The sequence below is a fragment of the Homo sapiens genome, chromosome 17, assembly GCF_000001405.40.
Source record: "Homo sapiens chromosome 17, GRCh38.p14 Primary Assembly".
Classification (NCBI taxonomy): domain Eukaryota; kingdom Metazoa; phylum Chordata; class Mammalia; order Primates; family Hominidae; genus Homo; species Homo sapiens.
In genome coordinates this window covers 13766745-13792258 of record NC_000017.11, presented here as the reverse complement: position 1 = coordinate 13792258, position 25514 = coordinate 13766745, and the positions used below count along the sequence as shown (strand labels likewise).

General features: G+C 38.3%; 2 long non-coding RNA genes across 7 annotated transcripts in view, besides 1 other annotated feature; both read left to right on the top strand.

Annotated features, from left to right (window-relative positions):
• LOC100506974 (uncharacterized) overlaps nt 1-1932 on the top strand; it is a 108299-nt gene extending 106367 nt beyond the window's left edge. For 2 of the 3 annotated variants that reach the window (XR_001752794.1, XR_001752797.1), the window contains one exon: nt 1184-1932. This is a non-coding gene — a long non-coding RNA (uncharacterized LOC100506974). The remainder of the gene's footprint in view (nt 1-1183) is intronic. The other variant, XR_001752796.1, reaches the window with a different exon arrangement.
• A 15-nt stretch (nt 1933-1947) lies between these two features.
• LOC107985014 (uncharacterized) lies at nt 1948-15631 on the top strand. Of its 4 annotated transcripts, none has more exons than XR_007065628.1 (3): nt 1948-1990; nt 14232-14294; nt 14523-15631. It is a non-coding gene; the product is annotated as an uncharacterized LOC107985014 (long non-coding RNA). The 4 variants fall into 4 exon arrangements; XR_007065627.1 differs by lacking the exon at nt 1948-1990 and adding an exon at nt 11198-12740; XR_007065626.1 differs by having other exon boundaries at nt 14232-15631.
• Nucleotides 19270-19439: an enhancer, noted in NCBI's record as "experimental_47013 CRE fragment used in MPRA reporter constructs". NCBI's record gives its function as "activates a minimal promoter by MPRAs in K562 erythroleukemia cells, with activity observed for the introgressed 17:13676222 variant allele {active_cell/tissue: K562}" and the evidence as "EXISTENCE:reporter gene assay evidence [ECO:0000049][PMID:34662402]".

The window sequence follows — 25514 nt, the reverse complement described above, 5'->3', positions numbered from 1 at the left end:
GTGGTCAAACAAATGAACATTTCCAAATTATCTTTTTTCTTTTTTTTTTTTTTTTTTGAGACAGAGTCTTGCTCTGTCGCCAGGCTGGAGTGCAGTGGCACAATCTCAGCTCACTGCAACCTACGACTCCCTGGTTCAAGTGATTCTCCTCCCTCAGCCTCCCGAGTAGCTAGAATAACAGGCACACCCAGCTAATTTTTGTATTTTTTGTAGAGACAGGGTTTCACCATGTTGGCCAGGATGGTCTTGATCTCCTGACCTTGTGATCCGCCTGCCTCGTCCTCCCAAAGTTCTGGCATTATAGGTATTAGCCACCATGCCCAGCCCCAAACTATCTTATCTCCAAGACACTCAATCCTTTTTTTTTTTCCATTAGTGACTCGTGATACAGAAGACTCACTCCTTTTACAAAAAGATAGGAAAATGTGCATTTGTGCTTGCATGCATTCTTTAGTCAAAGGAATCCCCTCTGCCCCCACCCAGCCAACATTTTTTTTACTCTGGTTTTGAAACTAATATTGCATTTTCTACTTTTTTTTCTTTTTAATAACAAACATTTAAATTTATAAATATATCCCTTTTATGTGAGATTCAAACAATATAAAATTGTTTAACAAGAACCCTGACAGCCCCCATTTATCTCTGTCACTATCTCAATCATTTTCCCAGTAGTCATTGCTGTTAACAGGTTGGATCATGGTTCTCAGTCCCTTTGCTGTGCACAGTTACACATACGGGTATATATTACATCTTTAAAAAACACAGTTAGGGCCCTAGTATGCATATTGTCCTATAGTTTGCTTTGTTCATCTGAAAATATGTCTTGGTGATTTTTCCATTTCATATTCCTTTTCAAAGCTCCATAATATTTTATAGCAAAGATATAGAATGCTCTATTTCAAGACTACCCTATTGATGGACTTTTCTTGTGGTCTATTTTGTGCTATTTTCAACAATTTTTTAATAAGTAATCTTATACACAAAGATATATAGGGTATAAAATTTCTAATTTATTTTCAGTTTTGACAGATACTATAAATTGCCTTCAGGAAAGTTTCATCTGTTTATAGTTCAAGTAACAGCATAGAGGAGACTCTGAATCCTTCAATGATCACATCACTTGATTTTATATAATTTGAAACATTTTTGCTAATCTGACAGAAATTCTTCTTGTATTTTTCAGAAAACTTATAATAAGGTCTTCATTCTGCATTCATTTCCGTAGCATGAAACCTGTGACCAGACTCCCTCAGTTCATACCATGGCTCTGCCACTTATTTGCTGCATGATCCCAGGCACGTTGCTTTACTTTGCTGTGGTTTAGTTCCTCCCCTCTGAACATGGTGGCAATAATGATACTTTACTCCTAGGGTGGTTGTGAGGACAAAATTGGTTAACCTGTGTAAAACACTTAGAGCTACATCTTGCACATTGTAAAGATATGTACATACTTGTTTTATTACTATTCTCTATATTTTTTATTTTCCTGAATACAAAAAATGGTTTTGGTATGTTGTTTTTCTATTTGGCCATTTTGTTGAGTTATCTTATTTATTATAATAGTTTTTTTTAAAATGACTTCTCTTAGATTTCCTTGGTAGAGAATTGTAAAAATTAGACAGTTGAGCAGTTGAGGCCATCCTTTGCAATAGTTAAAACTCTTTTTTTTTTTTTTTGTCTTATTACATTGGCTAATATCTCTCGTGGCAATGATAATGGAAATCCTTGTCTTGTTCCTAAGTAGTAAGACTTCCTCTGATATTTCACCATTAAGCAAGATGTTTGCTGTAGGATTTGGTAACTATGCTTTAGAAGATGAAGATATTTTATTGTGATAAAATGATATTATTAAAGTATTTTTTTAATGAGAAAGCATGATGAATTTTATTAAATGTTCTCTTTGGCATCTTTTAAGTTTAGCATATATTTTTTCTCTTTTAATCAGCCTATGTGGTGAATTTTATTAGTGGATTGCCCAATGATAAATAAGGTAAGCCATGTTGACATTCTATTTTTAAATGGTTGGATTTGATATGTGAATTCATTTAAAACTTTTCAGTCTATGTATGTGATACTAGCCTACTTTTTAAAATGTACTATTTTTATAGATTTAGTGGAGAAATTTTCTATCTTTTGTTATGCTGTAGAATATGCTATATGACATGAAATTGTCTGTTCCTTGAACAGACTCATGGGTCCAGAGTCTTTAGTGGCAAATCTGTGATTACTTTCTTGGTTTTTTGTATGGTTATTAGTATATTCAGGATTTATACTTTTTCTTGAATAATTTCTGTTTTCCTAGGAAGGAAGTCATTTATTTCACCTAGAGTTTGAAATTTGTTGGCATAAAGTGTTGCAAGATAGCCTCACAATTCATAAGCCTCCTGCATAGCTGACATAATACCACTTTTTTTTTTTTTTTTTAAGTAAAGTAAGTCTTACTTTTGTCTTTCTTTTCCCCTTAGTCAGACCTACCAAAGACTTATCTAGTCCATTGGTCTTTACAAGGAGCAGACTTCGGTTTTGCAGATTAGTGAGAATATTTTCGGGGGGCTGTTTTCTATATCATTAATTCTTGCTGCTATCCTTATAATTTCTGCCTTTTACTTTCTTTGGGTTACTTTTATTATTTTGTTCATATTTTTTCACATGGGAAGTAAGACAGAGGCAGAAAAGCATTATAGAAACTATAATAGAAGTCTATACTTAGCCTGTTGAGAACACAAAAGAACAATAGATTTATTCTATAAATGGGGGTTGGGAAAGAGTGGGTGTCTTAGTCTGTTTAGGCTACTTCAACACAATTCCATAAACTGGATGCTTATAAACAACAGTTCTGGAGACTAGAAAGTCCAAGATCAAGGTACCAGCAAACTCAGTGTCTAGTGATGGCCCATTCTTCAAAGATGGACATCTTCTCATTATAGCCTTACATGGTGGAAGGAATGAGAAATCTCTCTTGAGCCTCTTTTATAAGGGCACTGATCTCATTCATGAAAACTCTGCACTTATGACCTAAACGCCTTCCAAAAGGCGTCACTTCCTGATATTATAACTGTGATGGTTAGGATTTTAACATATGAATTTTGTGGGGACACAATCAATCAGACCAAGGCAGTGGGGGCTTCATGATTGAAGATACAAGTGAAGGGGATAGGTGCTCAGCCACTTATGCTTTTAAATGGTTAAAATATTTCTGGAAACATTCACACTCATACACACACACACACACACACACACACAACTTGTTACAGCAATTGCATATGAGGAAGGTAAGTGAAGGTGTTTAGCATACACTCTTTTAGGCTGTTTTTATTTTACCATGTGCAACTACTATTTATTCAATAAATATATTTCAAATGAAGTAAAATCAAGCTCATTCTGTTGAACACAAAAACTCCTTGAACTGGAAGGACTCTGAGAGATAAACTAGTTTCAACTTCCTGCTTAATTTAAAATATTTTTAATGCTGGGAAGGAGAGGAGACATTAGCACTCTCAGAGGCGAGCAAGTGCAGGTTGGATGTCTCTATTAGAAGCCAGACCACATGCCTGCATGAATCCTGCTGTCTGGTGTGCTAATGTCAGCAGAGGCTACAGGAATGAGTCCATGATCCTGGGAATGCAGTTAACAAGGGTGAGGAGGAAGGCCATGGTTGGATCCAGCCGCAACAGTGACAGAGGAGGGAATGAGAGGTTTCCTGTCTGAGGCAGACCTTTGCTTTCCTTTCAAGACCCCTTATCTCTGGCAAGTTGTGTCTGCCTCCATTCACCTAACAGCTTGCCTGGCTCTGGTTTTTAGCTTCTGAATTGACTCCAGCACCAGACAGCATCCTTGCCTGCCCTGCCTTTGACCCACAACATCTTTTGATTTCCTAAGCACGCAACCTGTGTCCCCAACTTCAGCCACTTTACTGTGTCTCCCACCAGGGAACAGGGAGGTATTGTACACACAGGTTGTAAATAACCGTGAGGTCAAAAACAAGTATTGAAATTTGAGTAGAACAGACATGGAAAATGGAATTAGCTAGATGGATGGAGTTAATAAGTGAATATTTATCTGGATGAGGTGGAAGAACAAATTTGTGTCGGATGGAGAATGAGAGAAGGAGCCAGCTAAAAGGTTATATTTGGGAACGTGAAGTACCAAATTCAAGATCTCGAAGGCCAGCGCTAAGAAGGAGAAGCAGGGAGGAAATAAACACGCATTTATTGAATGCCTTCTGTGTTCCAGGAGCTCCGCAGATATGATCTCATTTAATTCTCTTGACTGTCCCACATTTTACAGATGAGGACTCTCAAGCTCATGGGACTAAATATCTTGCCAAAGACACAGAGCTGATAAGTGGAGAGGCTGGGATTAGGGGTAATCATAGAGAGGTGAATGGTGGGTTGAAGGTGAGACTGGAGAGACAGAAGCTTCATGTAACTTGTCAGCTCCAAGTGAGTTTGGGGAAGTGGGAAATAGGTGCTGATTAGAGGAAGTAACACCTTCATCTACTTGGTTACTCATGCCAGAAAAAGCGTATCCCTTCTATCAGCAAGTCTTGTCAATTCTATTTCCCCCCCAAAAAAAAAAAAAAAAAAACCGTATTTAATCTCCATCCTCTTCCTCTCCATTGCGATCACCTTAGCCCAAGCTGGGATCCTAAAATAAACCACCATTTCCTTACCTAGAAGGCCATACTAAACTACTGGTCGTTTTTTTTCTCTTTGATTCATTTTCCATAGATCAGGTAGAATAATCTTCCTAATATGCATAGCTGATCATGTCTTGCCATCCTTTAAAACTTTCCAATAGCTTCTCTCATTTTTAGGAGAATCTTCCTTAGCCTCAGTGTGGACTGCAGGGCACTGATGGTCCATCCTTTGCTAACTCCGAAGCCACCTTTTCCTTTGCTTATATCCTCTGATTGTTTTGGCCTTTTCACTGTTTTTCAAACTCAACAAGCTTCTTTCAAGCTTAGAATTTTTCACATTTTCATTTTTCCATGTATCATTTGTCTTTCTCTTTTTTCTGGCTTGTTTCATCATTTAGGTTTCAGATTCTATGGAACCTCAGCAGGGATGTTCTTCTTACTTAGGCTAGGTAAACTGAGTCTAGATTTGATTCCTTGTATTATACAGATCATTAGTAGAATAATTTATTTAAGTCCGTGTCTACCACTAGATTGAAAGCTGCATGAAGCTGAGATTGTTTTATGACTTATCCAGCTTTCAGTTGATTCTCAGTTCGGATGAATGAGTAAGTGAATAAAACATTAAATGAATGAAAAAAGTACCCTTAAAGGGAATCACAACTATGGGCTTGATTATTTAACCAAGTGTATATGGAAAGGATGAAATGATCCTTTGCACAAACTCCTTCCTTTCACTCACCATAACCTAAAAGCAATGGCTTATCTGGGTAGCTTCTCCCACGTGCCACCCAAATGAGGTTTGGCTATGTCTTTCTTCCCCGTCTGATCGGTGAAGAAATCTGAGTTGTTGCCTCTTACTTTTTTCCTTCCTGCTTCTCTGTGTCTCTGTCCCTTCACTGTCTTATTCTAGCTTGGGATTTTAGGTACTGCTGTTGGGCTGTCCCCTACTTCTTGCATGTTAAATGTCATGATCATGGTTTCCCCCCCCCCCCCACCCTTGGAAATATTAAAAAGAAACTTAAGTAAATATATGCAGGAGGAATAAAGCCCCTCTACCCTTTTGGAATCTTCATAAAGCCACTTTGGGACGGTGTCTCCATTTCTCCCTGCACAGCTCTGATGCCCCGCGAGCCACAACCCCCTGGCCACATCACAGACCCAGCAGTGAGGCGGCCAGGCTCAGCAAGGGGCACCAGCTCCCCTGGAGGGATCTGGGCTTTTTCCATGTTGTGAGTCAATCTGGGCAGACAAATCCTGCTGAACACAGTTATAAATCGGGGATTGTGAACTTCTCCTGCTGAGACGCACTAACAGTTTATAAGGAAGAAAAATTGATAAACCCCTGGGTATCATTTTTTTTGTTTTCATTTCACTCCGGGGCCAGCTGTGAAAGGAAAATGACTGTAAACAGCCTATTAGTAAAACTGCTTTAGTAAAAAATACCGCAAGGGAAAGTCATAAGCAGTTGTTACGTCAGCCAGGGCTCCCCAGCTTGCTTTGAAAGGCAGAAGCAGTGGAAGAAAGCCCTGAAATGCACCTATCTTGCCAAAAACAAAACAAAGCAACATCTAGCACTCATTTTGTGAGTGTAGACAGACCATAATGTCCCAGAAAGTGGTAACACATCTCTACTTCCCTCATGGCCTCTTTGATGACAACTGCTCTCTGCCACATGCTTAGGTTTTCTTTGTTTGATTATATCTTTTTACTTTTATTCAGGGCAAAGCATACAGGGAAAAGAAAATTGTGTCTAGATCTCTACCATATGAGAAAGCTCATTACAATGGCAGCCAGAGTTCCAAGGGCCAACCACATCCTTCAGGGAAGCAGAAGAGACAAAGTTCACTTTGGGTTGTTAAGCAAAGGCAACATGAAGGACGTTGCTTCTGGACAGGATCTTGAAATATAAGAGGGAGAGAAAAGAAGGAAGATGCTTCTACATAGAAGGGAAGTGGGGATAGGGGTTTCAAGGAGAAAGTTCCTTGATAGGGCCGGGAGTCATTCTAAGGTCAGCTTGCCAATAGGACGTCAATATGCAAACCTAAATTATAAATCATATCTAAAGGGTTAAAACATTAAAATTCAAATCTGTGGTCTGAGAAGAGGAGCTGGGTGGACCTCAGTGCTGTGGGGCACTGGTTTTCCCAGCTGGCAGTGTCCCTGGGCTGCGCCTCCTTCTAGACCTTCTAGAGGGTAGGTAAAATAAAGCTCCCCCTTACTGCCAGCACCCCCCACCCCCCAGCCCCAGGCCTGGCTTCTCAGAAGCCATTCCAAACCCAAGGCCCCACTGGGACCCTGGAGACCACTGGAGAACTCTGGGAGGCCAAAGTGATGTGTTGGTCTCTTTGGCTGGATTTCAGACCCAACACCTCGGGTCCCAGGGAGCCTGGCATGACCTTGTGGATTTGTTTATTAGCTGTTCTGTTAAAGTTCCATTCATTTATTTAAATAAACAACTCGGATCTCTGTTCCTAACTCAAGGCTCTCTCCCCCAGCAGCCTTAAATCAAAGGAAGCTTCTGTTATACTTTACTACTTTACTTTGCAAATTTGAGTTAAGAGGGCAGCCAAGACCAGATGACTTTATGGCTCAGCTGCAGCCACGTAGCAAGTTCAGCTAAAAGCCAGAGTTTGCACCCCAAATCTTACCAGTGTTTTTATTGTGCAAACCCCTTTGTTGTTAGGGCTGCAAGAGGCCAGGCGAGAATGCCTGGCTTCTACTAAGAAATGAATGAATTTGAGGTTTGAGGTGGTGAAGACTAGGGGAGACTGGGCTCCAGACAGGAATTAGCTGTGAGGTTGGGGAGTCATTTTGCATCTCTGACCTCCAGTTTCTTCTTTTGAGATAATTTAGCGGCAGAGCAAGATAATCCATATGTTCTTTTTCATTCTAAACTTCTGTGGCTCTGAGGCTTGACAGATTACCATGACACAGCTGGTAATGGGAAGCCGCAAGTGAAATGCTGAGCTGGTAGGTCCACCCTTGGTGTGAAAGGAAGGCAGAAAGTATCTAAGCAGTTATTGGAACGGACAGCATCAGCTAAGGGATCTTTCCAACCACAATCAGCTTATTATATACGAAGGGTGTGGTGAGAAGGATGTCAGATGTGAATGGAAGTGAAACGAATGGAATGTGGGTCTTAGGAGATCTTGAGGTGCCCAGGCAGAGGTGGAGATGAGCATAATCCTCAGCTTTCTGGCTTGCGGGTTCCAAGATAAAATATTAAAGAAAACATGAACTTAGGAGACTAGGATGATTAATTCATTTTGGGACATAAAAGCCCTTCATTTTGATTTTTAAGAGCTAAATAGAATATTTAAAATCCTTATTAATCTAATACTTAGTATATACTCATATTATAAAAAAATACACACAGAAAAATCAAAATACACAGAAAAGCACAAAGGAAAATAAATTGCAGTATATTGTCCATAATTTGATCATTCAACTCAGAGGTAATCACTATTTACAATTCAGTGAAAAAATATATATATATTATTATATACGTATGTATGTAAGTATACATATATATTATACATATATATGTATATAAGTATACATATATATGTATATAAGTATACTTATATATGTATATAAGTATACATATATATGTATATAAGTATACATATATATGTATATAAGTATACATATATATTATACATATATATGTATATAAGTATACATATATATTATACATATATATGTATATAAGTATACATATATATTATACATATATATGTATATAAGTATACATATATATTATACATATATATGTATATAAGTATACATATATATTATACATATATATGTATATAAGTATACATATATATTATACATATATATGTATATAAGTATACATATATATTATACATATATATGTATATAAGTATACATATATATTATACATATATATGTATATAAGTATACATATATATTATACATATATATGTATATAAGTATACATATATATTATACATATATATGTATATAAGTATACATATATATTATACATATATATGTATATAAGTATACATATATATTATACATATATATGTATATAAGTATACATATATATTATACATATATATGTATATAAGTATACATATATATTATACATATATATGTATATAAGTATACATATATATTATACATATATATGTATATAAGTATACATATATATTATACATATATATGTATATAAGTATACATATATATTATACATATATATGTATATAAGTATACATATATTATACATATATTATACATATATATGTATATAAGTACACATATATTATACATATATATGTATATAAGTACACATATATTATACATATATATGTATATAAGTACACATATATTATACATATATGTATATAAGTACGCATATATTATACATATATGTATATAAGTACGCATATATTATACATATATGTATATAAGTACGCATATATTATACATATATGTATATAAGTACGCATATATATTATACATATATGTATATAAGTACGCATATATTATACATATATGTATATAAGTACGCATATATATTATACGTATATATGTATATAAGTACGCATATATATTATACGTATATATGTATATAAGTACGCATATATATTATACGTATATATGTATATAAGTACGCATATATTATACGTATATATGTATATAAGTACGCATATATTATACGTATATATGTATATAAGTACGCATATATTATACGTATATATGTATATAAGTACGCATATATTATACGTATATATGTATATAAGTACGCATATATTATACGTATATATGTATATAAGTACGCATATATTATACGTATATATGTATATAAGTACGCATATATTATACGTATATATGTATATAAGTACGCATATATTATACGTATATATGTATATAAGTACGCATATATTATACGTATATATGTATATAAGTACGCATATATTATACGTATATATGTATATAAGTACGCATATATTATACGTATATATGTATATAAGTACGCATACATTATACGTATATATGTATATAAGTACGCATACATTATACGTATATATGTATATAAGTACGCATATATTATACGTATATATGTATATAAGTACGCATATATTATACGTATATATGTATATAAGTACGCATATATTATACGTATATATGTATATAAGTATACATATATATATATATATTTTTTTTTTTTTTTTGAGACAGAGTCTCACTCTGTCACCCAGGCCGGAGTGCAATGGCATGGTCTCAGCTCACTGCAACCTCCATCTCCCAGGTTCAAGCGATTATCCTGCTTCAGCCTCCCAAGTAGCTGGGACTACAGGCAGATGCCACCACACCTGGCTAATTTTTGTATTTTTAGTAGAGAGGGGGTTTCATTTCATTGTGTTGGCCAGGCTGGTCTCAAACTCCTGACCAAACATTCTTATAGTTAAATCTTTAGTCCAATTATTTTAAAAATACAAATGATTAGAAGCAGAATTTTTGGGTAAAAACAGGTGAGCATTTTTAAAGGTTTGATAGATTTGTATATTTTGCCAAAATACTTTTCCAAAGTTGAACTAACTTACACACTCAGAAATGCTATATAGATGTATGTTTTCCCATATCTTTGTCAACATTGGAAAGTGTATTCCTTTTTATGGTTAGTAATGAAAATTGCTATTAGATTTTGAGCAGTATCATGCTTTAAATATGGTTACTAGCTGGAAGCAGTGGCTCACTTCTGTAATTCCAGCACTTAGGGAGGCTAAGGTGGGAGTATTGCTTGAGCCCAGGAGTTTGAGACCAGCCTAGGCAACATAGTGAGACCTTGTCTCTATTAAAAAATTGTAAAAAAAATTTTTTTAAATGGTTATTTTGTAAATTTTATGTTCAAACTCTTTTTTTATTTTAGCTTGTTGCTTATCTTTTATTGATTTTTGGACGTTATATATCTTGAATTTAATCTATTTTCCTGCCTTCAATATTGCTATTTTTGCCCCAATTTCTTCTATCTCGATTTGCTTATTGTGTGTTTTGGTAAATGGTTCTATTGTATCACATATCTTTTCATTTATGCTTTTACCTTCACTCTTATATGTATATAAAGACCATACTTGCTCTAAATTATTTAAAGATACTTTTATGATTTTTTTAGGTTGCTTTTTAAATATTTTTACCTATGATTCGCTTCAGCTTCATTTTGATGTAGGGAACTTAATTCTTGCAGTTAATGGTAGATAAGCTACCATTTGGCGAATTACATCATTGATATGGCTTGGCTGTGTCCCCACCCAAATCTCATCTTGAATTGTAACTCTCACAATTCTCACATGTCATAGGAGGAATCCAATGGGAGGTGATTGAATTATGGGGGCAAGTCTTTCCTGCACTGTTGTCGTGATAGTGAATGAATCTCATGAGATCTGATGGTTTTAAAAATGGGAGTTTCCCTGCACAAGCTCTCTTTTTGCCAGCTGCCATCCACGTAAGATGTGACTTGCTCCTCCTTGCCTTCCACCATGATTGTGAGGCCTCCCTAGCCATGTGGAACTGTAAGTCCAGTAAACCTCTTTCTTTTGTAAATTGCCCAGCTTCAGGGATGGCTTTGTCAGCAGTGTGAAAACAGACTAATACAATCATGTATCAATTGACTTAAAATATCTCTTTTAGCATATACTAAATAAGTGGGTTAGTTTCTGGTCCTTATTTACAGTACATTGATTTCACTGTTGTATCTTATATTTTGCCTAAACTTGTGGGACTTCACCCTTCAATAGAGTAGTTTAAGCATTTACTGTCAGTCCTCTATACCAGTGGGGGATTGGTTCCAGGACCCCCAGGATGCCAAAATCCAAGCATGCATAAAAAATGGCATAGTATTTGCATATCACCCACACACATCCTACTGTGTCCTTAAAATAATTTCTACATTACTTATAATATCTAATATAATGTAAATGCTATGTAAATTTTTCTTATACTGTTATTTTTATCTTTTTAATTATTGTATTATTATTCTTTATTGTTCATGTCTGAATATTTTAAATATGAGGTTGGTTGAATTTGCAGTTGTGAAACCTGTAGATGCAGAGGGCCAACTATACATTTAATGTAATGAGTGTTATTTTTTCTTTTATTTCTGTAGTTTTGTACTTTATTTTTAATGTTCTCTTATTTTTCCTTTACTTTTAATTTTTTGTTGTATGGGCTGTAATTCCTTTTCGTAACCACCTTTTCCTCTAGTGACTTAGAACAGATACATTCTGTTTTTGCTTCATTGCCATCGATAACCTAATTGGCAATAACAAGTGCAAAACACTCATGAGTCCTCTTTATATAAAATGAAGAAACTAACACTCTTATTTAACTTCTTACTTTGCTCTGCCATCTCCTAGGTTTTGGCTGACAGATAACATAGGGCAGTGATCAAAGGGTTTACCTTCTCTGTGCCTCAGCTGCCCCATCTCGAAAGTGGGCATAATAGTATCATAGGGTTATTATGAAAATAAAATGACATAGTGCACAGGATGCATTTACAACAGTGCCTAGCACATGGTAAGTCAGCAGTAACATTGTAATGATCAGTAAGATTGAATACATCCTTTAACTTTTTAAATGATAATCATTACTTTACATCATGAAACTTTTTATTCATTAATTACTTTTACAGCCTTATCTGGGGAATTATTTAGACTTTATGTTTTACTTTAATAGTTTTCTCACCTACTCTCAATTCTTTCATATCATAGTTTTCTATGTGAGGACTCTTTATTGTGATCCATCTACTAGTTGATTGGAATATTTCTTTGGGTAATTTTAGGTTATACATGTATTATAGTTATATTAAGTTTGTAAGGGCCAAGGGGAAAAAAATAATGACTTTTACAAATTCAGTTGATTTTTTCTTTCATAAAAAAATCATTAGGCAGTCTGGAGCTGCTGTGGAAGTTTAGTTTCACAGTCATCAGGATGCCCATCTTATTTTCATTTTCATTCCTAAGTAACAAAATGGCTGCTGCAGCGCCATCTATCACATCTTCTTCCATCCAGCATGAAGGAAGAAAGCCCAAAGAAGAGGTTGGACCCTCCTATTAAGGAATCTTCCTAGAAGGTGCATATACCTTGTTGGCTTATATACAATTGGCTAGAACTTAGTTACAATGCGAGGGAGGCCATGAAGCATCTTCTTCACTCTGACTAGCCATCTGTTCAGCTAGACATTTATTTCTGGGATAGAAGAAAATAGATATTGAGGTCAATTATCTGTCTCTGTCATTCTGCCCTTTTGACCACCTGAATATCCAGGTGCATTTGTTCCATTCCTTTGGCATATTCCTCTTCCACAGGGAGACAGTCCCAAGTCCTATTTAGTTAGGGCGCTCAACTCAAACTCCATGATTGCAGGATGATGTGCAATCTTCTCCATGTCTGCTATGGCTCCTCATCAATCAGTGTCTAACCCCAAACACACATTTCCTGTCCTTCCATATCTAATCTATATCAGTGAAGGAGAAATATGATGACCAAAACAAAAATGTATTCTTGGAGAAAAAGAATTGGAAACACACAATAGTTACTGAGCAGTGGCTACTGTGTGATCCTAATTCTGTTCTTCCTTCCAACTGGATCTATAGCAATGAGCCATGCCATGAAGTAGCCACAGCAAAGACCCTCCTACCTGGCAGGTCGGTCGATGGCTTGGTGGTCCCATCCTGCAGCCTCAGCTTCTGCTCCTTGCTTTTTGTCCTTGGTGGTCATATCTGGGGTGGGCTTTGGAAAGGTTGATCTTTCTGGGGGCTGTGCCCTTTATTCGCTCTCTTCCTGCTGGTGCAGTTTTGAGGGCCTGGGAGTTGCTTAGGGGTTGAATGATTACTGGCTTTTGAGGGTAAGCTTGTGATTTATTTGGATAGAATTCCCTTAATAATTTAGTAGATTTCCTGTTTATTTGCTTCCCATCAGTTGCATGTGTAAGTAACTACTGCCAAAGATCTTGTTTCCATATAGTTTCCAAACCGAACTCTGTGCTCTATGCAACCCTCCTCTCAATAGTGACCTTGAAGTTGTCTAAAACAACAGGCTTTGGGGATAATCCTGGGTAATCTTACCATTCCTACCAGGCTAGAACATGTCATCTGCTAGGGATCCCGTAATGAAAGATTTTTGAGCAGAGATTTGGGACCAAAGTTTTATATCTTGCTAATTCCAGGACTTCAAGTCATTACTTAAAACTGCTTCAGTTTGGAGTTTAGGAGAAATTGGTTTTTGTTTGTTTGTTTGTTTGTTTTTAGCCCTGTAAGGGTTACTAAACTCTCAGTCTACTAAAATTGAAGACTACAAGCAGAAAATGTTCCTCCTGGAGAAGCTGTATTCCCTTCCAAGGGCTTGCAGCCCATCCCATTGTAAACTGGCGGTCATCTGTCTCTTGTGGGTGTTGTTAAGACTGGTAATGGCAGCCAACACACCCACATTCTGACTGTTTCTGACCATTTTCCCTAATTCCTTCTCTACTTATTGAGTGCGCTATTTCCTTTCTTTTCTTTTCATTTTCTTTGAATCCCTCAACAGTGTCCATGTCTTATATTTGTCCCCTTCCTTTCCACAGTCATCCTCTCAGCTCTTAATCTGGGTGTCTGGTTACCAGTTCAGAAGCCGAATAACGAGATAGGTGGGTGATGCTTCAGCAATTCATCCTGGCATTCTGGCAGGATGAATTCCTCTCTGCAGTTCTTCTCTCTATCTGGCCAACTGCTGTAGTGACCACTGCCTGCTGCAATAGGGAATCTTGCTTTGGAGAGAATCCTCTATCCTGCCTCCATTGCCTTTGCTGGTGCCTGGCTTCTGGCCCAAGTGTTCTGTCAAGGCCAGTTGTGAATTCCACATGTCTTCTTCTCAGGCACTGCCACTCCTTATGCCTAGAGGCAGGGGTGGGGAGGAGGAGAATGACTGTTTTGTGGAAACCCCCAACTCAGAACCGCACAGATGCCCTGCAGTTCCACCTCTGCATGGTAGCCAAAGAGAGTCCTCTAAATGAAGCAATCTCTTTGAGCCTCTCAGCATCCCCGCACTTCCAGCATCACTCAACCCAGAAACAATAGAATCTACAAGGGGACTCCCTACATGTTTCTTATGAGGTCAGAATTGCCATCCTGGAAAGGTGAGTTACAGTGCTGCCCAGGTGATTCTTGTGTGTTACTCTATGTTATATCTATTGTATAATCTCACATTTAAATAGCACCATTCCTTTTATTGCAATGCTTATGAAAACTTTCCTTGTTTTTAGGTTTCCTTCGTCAGTCCAGGCAGGACTGTGCGGTTGGAAAAGGGACGGATGCTGGTCCTGGAAGGGGCGTCGTTATCTAGAAGCTCCCAACCTAAGTGGGTGACTCATAGGGAGGGCAAGGAGAGAAGGACACAGCAAGCAACTTACATGTAAAACAAGACGTGTGGGTTATTATGGAAGAAATTCACAACCAAACTTGGGGTTAGCCCGTATTGTTTTCCAAGAACTCTATGTGGACAGTGACAAAAAACAGACCTAAGAACTAGCAGACTGGGCAAAGCTTTTTCACATAACAACAACAAAAAAAGCAATTCCTCAGGAAAAAATGGTCAATGGGTCATTGTGTGTAGACAAAACTACAAGTTCTGCTCCAGACTCTGGGGAAACCATGCTGCCATCTTCAAGCTGTGGCCATTCTGTAATACAGACTACGCTAAATCACATGTTGTCATCAAGGCAGAATATTTTGTTCCTTTATGGGTCAGCCTGGGATACAAAATTAGAGAAACTTTGCAATGAAAAATCCCTTGTGTCTCATTGAACTTTTTCCTTAATTCAAACCTTTCCTTTCACAGTTTTGATTAGTGCCTTTGCCCATGTGGACAATATTTTATGATCAGGTTTTAAGAGTAATCCATCCATGGCTGCTTGGCTGCCTGGAACTTAAAACAACGACAACAACAATGTCCAGATAAACCCAATAAAATAGGTTTTTAAATGTGTGTGTGTGTGTGTGTGTGTGTCTGTGTGTGTGTGTGTTGTGCTGATCTTTAGCCTTGAAGCTTCACTCTTTCCCCTCTTCTGAAGAAAAGGTGTTTGCAGGGTGGCTGAACTTGCCAAACGCTGACGCAGAGTAGATCCAGCCTGGCAGCTGTCTACAATTCCTTGATGGGCCTCTTCTACAAAGAAGATTGATGTGAGTCAGCAAAGCCCTCATTAAGTGAGTCACATCATTAATAAAAGGCGCAGATTGCAAAGCGGTGTTTATTTCAGTGTTGATAGAAACCAGGACACAGTGGCCTTGAATCAAAAATAACCTTGGGCCAGACACATTGAACTTGGATCAGATCTGAAATCCCAGGCATTCATCCCTCCCTGAAGGCAAACATACGTCCAGATGATACCGCTGCCTTCCTTGTTGTACAAATGACTTGCTCCTCATCACCAGCATTTACCTTGTGCTTGACAGTTTGCAAAGCCTGTCCACTTACAAACTCTCTTGTTCTGACATGAGTGAGCCTTAAGCAGTGATTAAGTGCTCTTGCTCAGGTGTCGAGCAGTCCTGGGTCAGAATCTCAGCTCTACCATTTTGAAGCTGTGTGAACTTGGTTAGCTCATTTAACCCCTCCAAGGTTCAGACGACACTAAATAAACTCTAAGTACTCTTACTACACTAAGTAACCCTCTCTAATTTCCTCATGTGGGCCCAGTGTCCTTAGACTCTCCAACTTATGGGTGAGGATAATAATAATATCTCCACCATACAGCATGAAGATTAAACAAGGTAATAAAATTAATGAAATAATTGCAATGTGTGGCACATCATAAAGTTCAAGAAATGTAATAACCCTGAGATTTGGATAGCATAGGCGTTATGCTGATTAATAGATGAGGAAACAGGAGCTGAAAAAGTTTACTCATTCAAGGTCATAGGGTTGGGACTGGATGCCACCACAAGTTGAAACAAGTTCTCCTGACTTCAAAGTCAGTGTTCTTTCAAAGCCACCCATGGCACAGGTATTTGAACAACAGGCATATTTTCTCTTGCCCTATTCACTTTCCAGGAAATGAAATTGTATCATACTTTCCTCCTGGCTCTCATTGGTTTACCGTTTTGTCTGTATTCACTTTGATTTCTATGTCAGCTGCTGCAACGCTAGTGAAAAAGACAAGGTCCTTACCCTCAAGATGCTTGCTGCCTAGCAATTTGTTACCATCAAGCCATGAGGCTGTTGTAAGTTGTTGTGATGGCTGATATGCCAGACATAGGATTAATACCTCTTCAGCCTTGGTTGCGGAGTGAGGGTGATCATTGGTCTGGCATTTAGTAGGTGGCCCAAGAAATATTTATAAACTGACTGCCAGCCTTTCCTTGAGCAGGGAACATGGAAACTGAGGGATAAATAGGAGTTAGCTAAGTGAGAAGCAACCAGGTCAGGCAGGAGGGCTCCAGGGGAGAGGGCATGACATGTGCAGGGAGCCGCAATTGAAGTAGGTGCAGGGGCCAGGAAGAGGAGGGTGAGCTGCGCTGGGGAGAGGCTAGGGAGGCCTGTGGTGAAAGGCTGTGTAAGCCATGTTAAGGATTTTGGACCTTATTCTAAAGGCATCAGCTGCTTCGAAGAAGAACATTTTGACTTGGGTGATTTGATACCATTCTGGTGACATCACCATGTTTAACACAGGAGAATCTGATGCAGGAGTAAAAGCATAACCATTAATATGTGAAAGCACTCTTTCATTACCAAACAATGCACTCTAGATTATACATGGTATATATGATTCTTAAGTCATGCCCAGGCAGGGAATAAATCTGTTAAAAGTTTCAGTTAAAAGCTCAATAATTATAAAAATATTAGAAGAAAATGTAGGAGACTATTTCTTCAATCCTGGGATAAATAGATAGAAAAATAGGCAAACATAAAAAATGTGTCTACATAAAGTCAAAACTTCCCTGAGATTCCACAAAAGAACTCTAAAGAGCTAAAACATAAACAGCGTGCTACAAATTTTTGTAACACACATGACAAAGGATTACTACTCTAATGCATGAATGGTTTGTAAAAATCAAAGGGAGCAAGAAGACCAGCTGAGTAGATTAACAGATAGCTGGTAAAAGAAGGAAGACATGGGGTTCTTGAGGGCAGTGAATCGCATTTGGTTCAGTGATGTATTCCTATTGCTCGGGAAAGACCTGGTGCACGTATTCACCAGTCATTCATATTGAATGAAAAAATATAAGAGGATCTTTAGCTTTAGTGGCACTTTCTTTTGTTTGCTTGTTTTGAGAGAAGTTTGTTGCCTAGGCTGGAGTGCAGTGCCATGAACTTGGCTCACTGCAACCTCCACCTCCCAGACTCAAGCGATCCTTCCACCTTAGCCTCCTGAGCTGAGTAGTACTTTTATTTTTCGATTTTATTTTTAAAATTTCCACAGCATATACACTGCAGAGTAGTACTTGTAAAAGAATATTTTAATAAACCCAGAAGATGTATTTTTTAGTCATTAATTACTCAAGATTAAAGATATTGGTAATATCCAATCAGATTTAGAGAGGGTAGAGGAATTTTCAACTGTCATGCACATTTTTCAATTTTAAATTAGACATCATCAATCCCCTACAAAAGAGGGACTGACTAAATACATTAGAACACATCAGGTATAGAATGAAATAGTATGCAACCCTTCACACTCTTTGTATAGATCTGTATCAATTTAGCTTGAAAAGTTACGTATGACATATTTGAAACTGAAAATTAAAATTGACAAACTATAAAAAGAATAATTTAATTGTTTCACCATTAAGTATGACGTTTGCTATAGGTTCCTAGGATTATCATTTAGTTAGTTAGTAAAATTTCCCTCTGTTTCTAATTTATCAAAACTTTTTTTAATTTTAATGTTTAAATCCAACATTGCTGATGAGAGCATTGGTATTAATTCAGTCTTTTTCCCTCATAGGTATCCTTTTCTCTACCTCAAATTTTATTATTCTAATAAAAATTTGCCGCAATGTATCTCAGTGATGGCCCTTTTTCATTCATTCCTTCTCAAATATTTGATGAGCTCTTAATTCTTCGATATTTTTTCCCATCACTACTTCTCACATTTGCTTTCCTCCTTTCTTGGATCTATCCATCATTTATCAAGATTTATAGTTATTTTTTTCTTTCTTTGTGCTAAACATCAGGTCAAGTTTTAGGCTGTATCTAGGAACTCAAGAATTTATTCTTCTTTGTCTGTATCCATGATACCATTTAGTCCACATTTCTGAGATTTTAATTTTAGTGATAGCATTTATAATTCACAAGCTGTCTCATTGATTCTCTCTTCCTTTTTAAAAAGGTCTGTAATATCCACTCTATGTCTGTGAAGATTGCAATTAAAAATTTAAACTATTGTTCTCATTGCTCTATTAAATCTGTTCCCTGGAGTATTGTGTCAGTCAGCTATTGTTGCAATAATACTGCATAACAAACAATCCTGAAAAGTAGTGACTGACAATGATAAGCATTTATTTTTCTTGCTCACACATCTGCAGACTAAGGTGGCTCTACTCTAGGTGACATTTAGCTGGGCTGGGCTTCTGCATTTGGGTTGGATTCAGGTTTGCCCCACTTCACACTCTCCTTGGACAAGCAACTACGTGGGTGCATGTTCTCCTCCTGGTGAATGACAGGAACACAAGAGACCAAGTCACCTGGTGCAAGCATGTTTGGAGCCTTGGTTCACTGCCACAACCACTAAAGGTGACTTTTGTTGGTATGTTCAGTCTTGAATTTGATTTTCCTAAACTATTGTTTCTGTTACTGCTGTATCTGTTAAGCACTGCCTGTTTGTAGGGGAGGGTAGAACTTGGTGCTGGATTGGGTCTATGCCAGCCAGTCTCTAATGATTGTGTGGGAGGCGCTGTCCATGCCCTCCTGTGCCTCTGTACCACACACTGTTCTGGTGCATGCTCTCTTTTTAATGTACCTTCCCCCGAGTCTCAGCCTAAGGGCTTTCTTTGACCATGGTAACTTCGTCAGTCTGTGCTTGGAGCAGGACCAGAAGACATGAGTGGGTGCCCAGCAAGTTAACATCCCTAGCAGCAGCCCTCAACCAATCATGGGCCGGACATGGCATATGAATACATCAATTTACTTTTAACTGAGTGGGACAACTCAGAGGTCTGTATTATATAGCCTCACAGACATCCCCAGCAGGATTAAGCCCGTTGCTTATGATGGTGACCTGCTCTTCAACACACTTTCTGTCGAATACCTTCCTTCCTCCTCTTACTTCCCCACTCTCCTACAGGTGATCTTGAGGTTACTTCCAAAATAAATAACGTACATGCCAATTCTTCTCTCAGTGTTTGCTTTTGAGAAATCCAGCTCAAGAAAAAAATGCTTATTTTGACAATAAAAGGTAATTTAAGAATTACAATTCCTTCTTTATACTTTCAGAATTCTCTGAATGCTGTACAATGGGTGGGCAATACAGAAAAAAAACAAACCATCACTACCAACAGGACAATCTCCTGTCATATCACATTGCCATGAATGTCTCCTGTTTTTTCTTAGAAGTAGAAAAAATGCAAAAATCAGATAAATTAATATACTGTTTTCCCAAAAATACCAAGCAACTTATTTTGGTATTTATGACCCAAATTGTAATTTGGAAAATAAGTTGAACTAAATAGAAAAACATGAGCAAGAATTTCAAATGTGATAGATTTCCTACAGTTTCATCTCAAAAGGAGAACCTGGAGGAAAAAAAAAACCCTCTCTTGTTTATTTAAAGTTCACCAGCTTAATGGGGAACATCATGTTTATCTCAAAAGAACTACTGGGTATGAAGCTGTAACATCAGTGGAGATGTCAGACACCATGTCTATCTGCCTCCCTCCTCTCCATTCAGGGCCTGTTAATCCTTCCAGGACCATGGAGGAGCTGCTAATCCATCAGTACAACAAATTCAACTTCATTCTCTGACAGCCACTGGGCCAGGTTGGAAAAAGAGTACAGTAAAAGACACACAAATCTCGGATCTCAAGACACTGGTGCTCCACCAGTGATATGGTTTGGCTGTGTCTCCACTCAAATCTTGTCTTGAATTGTAGTTCCTACAATCCCCATGTGTTGTGGGAGGGACCAGGTGGAGATAATTGAATCATGGGGGCAGTTTCCCCCATCTTGTTCTTGTGATAGTGAGTTAGTTCTCCTGAGACCTGATGATTTCTTTTTTTTTTTTTTTTTTTTTTTTTTTTTGAGACGGAGTCTCACTCTGTCTCCCAGGCTGGAGTGCAGTGGTGTGATCTTGGCACACTGCAAGCTCCACCTCCTGGGTTCAAACCATTCTCCTGCCTCAGCCTCCCAAGGAGCTGGGACTACAGGCACCCACCACCGCACCCAGCTAATTTTTTGTATTTTTTAGTAGAGATGGGTTTCACCATGTTAGCCAGGATGGTCTCGATCTCCTGACCTCGTGATCCACCGAGATCTGATGGTTTTATAAGGGGCTTCCCTTTCACTGGGCACTCATTCTTCTCCTTCCTGCTGTTATGTGAAGAAGGATTTGTTTGACTTCCCCTCCCTCCATGATTTTAAGTTTCTTGAGGCCTCCCCAGCCCTGCAGAACTGTAAGTCAATTAAAGTTCTTTCCTTTATAAATTACCCAGTCTTGTGTGTGTGTTTATTAGCAGCATGTTGAGAATGGACTAATACAGTAAATTGGTACCAGAAGTGGGATGCTGCTCTAAGGATACCCAAAAATGTGGGAGTGACTTTGGAACTCGGTAACGGGCAGAGGTTGAAACAGTTTGGAGGGCTCAGAAGAAGACAGGAAAATGTGGTGAAGTTTGGAACTTCCTAGAGACTCGGAGGGCTCAGAAGGCAGGAAAATGTGGGAAAGTTTGGAACTTCCTAGAGACTTGTTGACTGACTTTGACCAAAATGCTGATAGTGAAATGGACAATGAAGTCCAGGTTCAGGTGGTCTCAGATGGAGCTGAGGAACTTGTTGGGAACTGGAGTAAAGCTTACTCTTGCTATGCAAAGAGACTGGTGGCATTTTGGCCCTGCCCTAGAGATCTATGGAACTTTAAATTTGAGAGAGATGATTTAGGGCATCTGGTGGAAGTAGGCAGCAAAGCATACAAGAGGAAACAGGGCATAAAAGTTTGGAAAATTTGAAGCCTGACAATGTGATAGAACAGAAAACCCCATTTTCTGGGCAGGAATACAAGCTGACTGGAGAAATTTGCATAAGTAACAAGGAGCCAAATGTTAACACCAAGACAGTGGGAGAAATGTCCCTAGGGCATGTTAAAGACCTTCATGGCAGCCCCTCCCCTCACAAGCCCTGAGGCATAGGAGAAGGAAACAGTTTCCTGGGCCAGGCCCAGGGTTCTCCTGCTGTGTTAAGCCTAGGGACTTTGTGTCCTATGTCCCAGCTTCTCCAGCCATGGCTAAAAGGGGCCAAGGTACAGCTCAGACCATGGCTTCAGAGGGTGCAATCCCCAAGACTTGTGGCTTCCACATAGTGTTGAGCCTGCAGGTGCACAGAAGTCAATAATTGAGGTTATGGAACCTTCATTTAGATTTAAGAGGATGTATGGAAACACCTGGATGTCCAGGCAGAAGTTGGCTGCAGGGGCAGAGCCCTCAAGAAGAAACTCCACTAGGGCAGTGTGGAAGGGAAATGTGGGGTTGGAGCCCCAGTGCCGAGTCCCCACTGGGGCACTGACTAGTGGAGCTGTGAGAAGCGGGCCACAGTCCTCTAGACCCCAGAATGGTAGATCCACCTGCAGCTTGCACCCATGTGCCTGGAAAAGGCGCAGAAACTCAACACCTGCTCATGAAAGCAGCCTAGAGGGGGGCTGTACCCTGCAAAGCCACAGGGACGGAGCTACCCAAGACCATAGGAACCCACCTGTTGCATCAGCATGACCTGGATGTGAGACAAGGAGTCAAAGGAGATCATTTTAGAACTTTAAGATTTAATGACTGCCCTATTGTATTTCAGACTTGCATGGGTCCTGTAGCTCCTTTGTTTTGTCAGTTTCTCCCATTTGGAATGGGTGTATTTACCCAATACCTGTACCTCCATTGTATTTACGAAGAAACTAACTTGCTTTTGATTTTACAGTCTCATAGACAGAAGGGACTTGCCTTGTCTCAGATGAGACTTTGGACTTGGACTTTTGAGTTAATGCTGGAGTGAGTTAAGACTTCTGTTGGAAGGGTATGTTATGTTTTGAATTGTGAAGACATAAGATTTGGGAGGAGCCAGGGATGGAATGATATGGTTTGGCTATGTCCCTACCCAAATCTCATCTTGAATTGTAGTTCCCATAATCCCCTGGTCATGAGAGGGACCAGGTGGAGATAATTGAATCATGAGGGTGATTTCTCCCATCCTGTTCTTGTGATAGTGAGTTAGTTCTCATGAGATCTGATGGTTTTGTAAGAGGCTTCCCCCTTCACTGGACACTCATTCTTCTCCTTCCTGCCATCATGTGAAGGACATGTTTGCTTCCCCTTCCATCATGATTGTGATTTTCCTGAGGCCTCCCCAGCTCTGCAGAACTGTGAGAAAATTAAACCTCTTGCCTTTACAAATTACCCAGTCTCGGGTATGTCTTTATTAGCAGTGTGAGAATGGACTAATACAGAGAGAGAGAAAACAAATAAATACATGGTCAAGGGTATTTCAGATTCTGATACATTCTTTGAGGGAAATAAATAGAGAAGTGTGATACAGATGGTTACTTTGGAGTGAATTGGGATTTCTCTATAACAGTGGAGAGGGAAATTCTGTAGGGAAAATTTTGTTTGAGCTAAGGCTTGGAAGATGAGAAGATGACAACTTAGCAGAATCAAAGAAGTCTCCCAGGCCAAGGAAGGAGTAAGGATATAGACCTGGCCCTGGCTGGAGCTTGCTGTTTGAGAGGAATATGAAGCAGACAGGGAGCCTGGAGAACAGTAAGCAACATCATTTTGTGAAATGAAAACAAACAAACCCCGAACTCCACATTCATAAACGCTCAAGTTTACACTGAGACACATATACTAAACTATTATACAAACTATGCAAAGGAATAAAAAAAGGGATTTCTCATATACTGTTTGTGAGAGTATAAATTGGCACAAGCTTTCTGTGTAAGACTATTTGACAATGTCTATTTAAATTTAAATATTCTTTTACCTTTTGCTTCAAATACTTTCATATAATTTGAAATTTAATTTAATTTTATTTACATTTAAAATTTTAAAAATAGATTGTTGGGTGCAAGTGCAGCTTTCTTACATGGTTATATTGCACACTGGAGAAGTTTGGGCTTTCAGTGTAACTATCATCCACATAGTGTACATTGTACCCATTAGGTAATTTCTCATCTCTCACCAACACCTCCCGCTATCCACTATCCCACCTTTCTGAGACTCCAGTGTCTATTATACTGCTCTATGTGTCCATGTGTTCACATTATTTAGCTCCTACTTATAAGTGAGAACATGCCGTATTTGATTTTCTATTTCTGAGTTATTTCACTTAATGGTTTAAAGTTTTCTAATTATGTATTCCTTCTGCACTAACAAACTAATGAAAAATTTAAACCTGCTGTCTTCACATATATTATATCATGACACATATACCCGCACATGCATAGATAAAGTGGTGGGGGAAGAGTCACAGCAGTAGAGTCTAAAACCCAATGAATAAACAGGTATTTCAAGGGAGACTTAAGCAACAAACCCAAGTCCTTACAGCAGCCATGAAAATGTTAGATTAAATATGAAACCTGAATCTAGAAGAAACAAGCTTAAGACCAATTTTTTCTTTTAATTAAAAATGTGTTGCTTGAACTATGTCCAACCCTGGGTTTTCTGGCATTCATAAGTCCTACTTTTGGTTCCAAACCTTTTCACCATTTATCACACTTTACACCCACCCTGCTAGGAAGAAACACAAGGTGGGTCTGTGTAAGTTAAGTGTGTGAGTGTGTGCCTGTGCTGTTGTTGAATCATTTCCCCCAGGTGATCCAGGAAGAAGCATATCACAGACGCCAGTTTATTACAATCAATTTTCCAATAACTCCTAACTGGGCCAGATTCAATTTAATAACAAAGGATGAAAGTGTCTAAGTCCATTAAACTACCAGATTCCTGAATTTACTTAAATCACATATTAATTTCCTTTCCTGATCTCACTGCTAAGCTGTCAAAGCTCTATCCATGTGTCACTGAGTCAACTATTTGGGGGTCAATTATGTTGAATTGCTTTGCCATTAATTGGATCACAGCCCAGCAGATTTCATGCAGTCTTCAGTTTGAAATGCTCCATGGTCTAATCACCACCTTGTCCTCTCTCTGAAAGCAACACAAAGGAATATGTTGTCTGATTGTCCTCCTGAATGTCAACCTTAAAATACAGGCAAATATACTAACATCCCAGTTAAAACAATGTTTAGTATAACTGCCTGTGAGCTGATAACTTATCCAGGTCCCAAGAGCAACTATGTTACTCAAATCATAAAGACATAGTCTTTCTTCTTCTTCTTCTTAACCTAACACCATAAATGTAATGCTTTATTACTTTTCGAGTTCCCCTCCCAATTCCCATTCTTTATAACTCTTACTCTTCCAGAATGGAATTTTCTACCACCTACCCCCAACCACCTTCTTTACAAAGCTAAGTCCTGTTCATCTTTAGCACCTTCGCAAGTGCCCACACTCTCCTGCTCCAGTTTCCTGCTTTTAATGTTCTCCAAAGCCCACTTTCCTCCTAGCCTCCTGGATTGAATCCAAGAGTCCTTTCAGCAGCACGATTCATGGTATTCATTTTCATTGAGAAAGGAGTGTGGCAGTGTAGTATCTTGAAGGAACAATGAAAGGTTCTTCTTAGC